Source organism: Homo sapiens, chromosome 20 (genome assembly GCF_000001405.40).
Source record: "Homo sapiens chromosome 20, GRCh38.p14 Primary Assembly".
NCBI classification, from domain to species: Eukaryota; Metazoa; Chordata; class Mammalia; order Primates; family Hominidae; genus Homo; species Homo sapiens.
Window position 1 is genome coordinate 50385416 of NC_000020.11, and position 2845 is coordinate 50388260.

Sequence of the window (2845 nt, forward strand, 5' to 3'; positions counted from 1 at the left end):
CCCTCCCCCCACCCTCCGAGGAGGGGGGCACTGATATCAAGTTGTCTGTATTCCATATGGCACATGCCCTCATGGGACAGGTGGCTTCTTTCAGAAGCTGCAGTGATCTCTCCCAAACCAATTGGTTCTGTCAATCCCCAGTGAAAAATCCTTAAGAATCCTCATTGTCCCAGAGACCTGGGCTAAACCCCTTGGTCTGAAGCGGTCAGGTCCAAGATTCTTTCATTTATTCACACACAAAAGGAAATGATTGCGCTCACTCCATAAGCCAGTCAGCCTCTGGGCGCTGGAGAAACATGAGAGGCCCTGGGAACTTAGGCCCAACGGCAAGAGAGAAAATAATAAATATCTAACATGTCAGGTAGTGACGAACAGATATGAAGACAAATAAGGCAAGGCGAGGGGAGACTTATTTGAGAAGGGTCACTATTTCAGGAGGGAATTCAGGGTCAGCCTCTCTGCTAAGAAGGGATTGCAATGAAGTAAGGGGGTGGCAAGTGCAAAGGCACTGGGGTAGAAAGGGGCTTGGTGGCCGCCTGTGCAATGAGTGTGAGAGGTGGAAGAGGCTACAATATGGGCGTGGCTTCCTCCCTGAGTGAAGTAGGGAGCCATGGGAGGGTTTTGAGCAGAGGAGGGCCCTGCCCTGACTTTGATTTTTACAGAATCCCTCTGGCTACTTGTGGATAACAGTCTTCATGGGGGCCAGGAAGCGGAGAAGTCTGCTGCAGGAAGCGAGGTTTTGCAGGCCTCATGACACTTAGATCACAGAGAGGATTCAGGGGTTTGAGTGACATTCTCAAAAGACACAGGAAAACCAAACAGGATTTTCGGGTTAACCAGAAGCTGCCAGAAGATGGACGGTGCCCAGCATGCCCTGCCCCCAGGCACCCTGGTCCATGGGCCTTTTGTGCAGCATCCTCGGCGGGTGTGGACGCTGTGGTGCTGGTGTTGCTGGTGGGTTTTCCCCTGTGCCTGCCTCTTGGCTGTTGAGGACAGTGCTGGGGAGGATGTGAGCACTTAGCACCCCAGCGTGGTCCGGGCGATGGTGGCCCAGCTCCCGCCAAAGACGCTGACTTCTTTGAACCCGAGAACAAACATTGACGTTCTTAGTTCTGCAAAAAAAAAAAAAAAAAAGCCCTGCGTCCATGCACGCTGTATCCCCCCATCACCAAACTCACTTATCTCGCTGCACAATCCTTCAAAGCACAACACAATGTATTTATGTCTGTGGTTTAGGTTCCCAAAACCTGTGACATCAGATAAGTACGATGTTCACAAAAACAAACATCGCAGAAAGGGAAAAAAACGACCAAAAAGAAGCAGCTGGTTTCAGCCTCGACTTCCTCTCCCAAGAAAAAGGGGCTCTATCTGGCTGAGGTTTCACTGTATTCAGGCTGGGGGGTCAGAGGAATGCCGTCCTGCCCTCTGTCCAACTGCTCGCATCTCAGCCTTTGATGTGTGACTCTCTGAGGCTGAAAAATCTCACCTGCAAAATGGAAATGCCAATCTCCACCTCTTGGGACTCATAAAAATAATAATAAAATGATAATAAAAATATACCAATAATTGCTCATCTTTGGATCAATTGTGTTCCATAGGTCATTTCCTTAGCAAATCCTCACATCGGCCTGTGTTTTGCCTTCACGTGGGGTGGCTACTGAGAACATCTCCAGTTGACACATGGGGAAACTGAGGCTTCAAGTAGGAAAAATAGGCAGTTATAAAACACTGCATGGCTACTTTTGGTTTTTAGAAAATGCAAACATGTAATATATAAATTAAATAAATAAATAACAAAATATAAAAATATAATTAGGCAAAAAAGTTTGGCCGGTTAAATGCCCAAAAGCCACAGTGCTTTCCTGAGTATCAGAGTGACCATTGAGACAGGAGTCCCACCGCTGTCTCCTTCTCGTCATTCCCGTCTCGGCAAAATGTCACCTCTGCTGAGAGGTCGTCCCCAAGCTCTTGCCTAAGGTGGCCCTCCGGTCCCTCTTATTCCACTCACCTTATCTCTTTCTGCCCTGACCGTCGCTGGAATGCGCCGTATTTTTTCATCTGTTTCTGGGCTTATCGCCTGTGTTCCCCGCTAGAGCTTCAGACCCAGGAAAGCAGGAACTTCACCCCGTCCCCAGAGCCTTGCCCAGTGCCTGGCACTAGTGGATCTCAATACATATTCCTGGACCAACGGAAGGTGTTTTCTTATTTTTAAAAAATGTACTTTGCACACTGGGCAAGGTGGCTCACACCTGTAATCCCAGCACTTTGGGTGGATGAGGCGGGAGGATCGCTTGAGTCTAGGAGTTCAACACCCATCTGGGCAACATAGTGAGACCCTATCTCTATAAAAAAAAAAAAATTAAAGTATTAGCAGGGCGTGGTGATACCTGCCTGTAGTTCCAGCTACTCCGGAGGCTGAAGTGGGAGGACTGCTTGAACCCAAGAGGTCGAGGCTGCAGTGAGCCGTAATCATGCCACTGCACTCCAGCCTTGGTGACAGCTAGACCTTGTCTCAAAAATAAAAATACAAAGTGAAAAAATTGCTTTGCTTTTTCAAAAGCAAAGCACACCATATGAGTTGTTTTTAATTGTTGTTTTAAGTGCTGGTCAAAAATGAGCTGGCAGGAGCCTCAGCAGGAAGGCACAGCCTCGGCGGGCTTATCTGGCTGAGTGTGAAGGAAGTGGGCACACTGGCTTCCCACAGAGTGGGTCAAGCAGCGAACATCCCAGAGTTTCCCAGCCCAGTCTGCCCCCAGTTCTCTGGCGCTGGAGATCTTCCCGCCTGGGACAGGGTTATCTTTGAATGACAGCGTGTTCAGTCTCCCCCATGGGGTGAGGCTGCCCT

General features: G+C 49.0%; 1 long non-coding RNA gene across 1 annotated transcript; it reads right to left on the minus strand.

The window, feature by feature from the left end:
* Window positions 1-210: 210 nt before the first annotated feature.
* On the minus strand, window positions 211-2255 carry LOC124904928 (uncharacterized). Its single transcript, XR_007067641.1, has 2 exons — window positions 2009-2255; window positions 211-1112 (listed from the first exon to the last, which is right to left on the minus strand). It is a non-coding gene; the product is annotated as an uncharacterized LOC124904928 (long non-coding RNA).
* Between the last annotated feature and the right edge of the window lie 590 nt (window positions 2256-2845).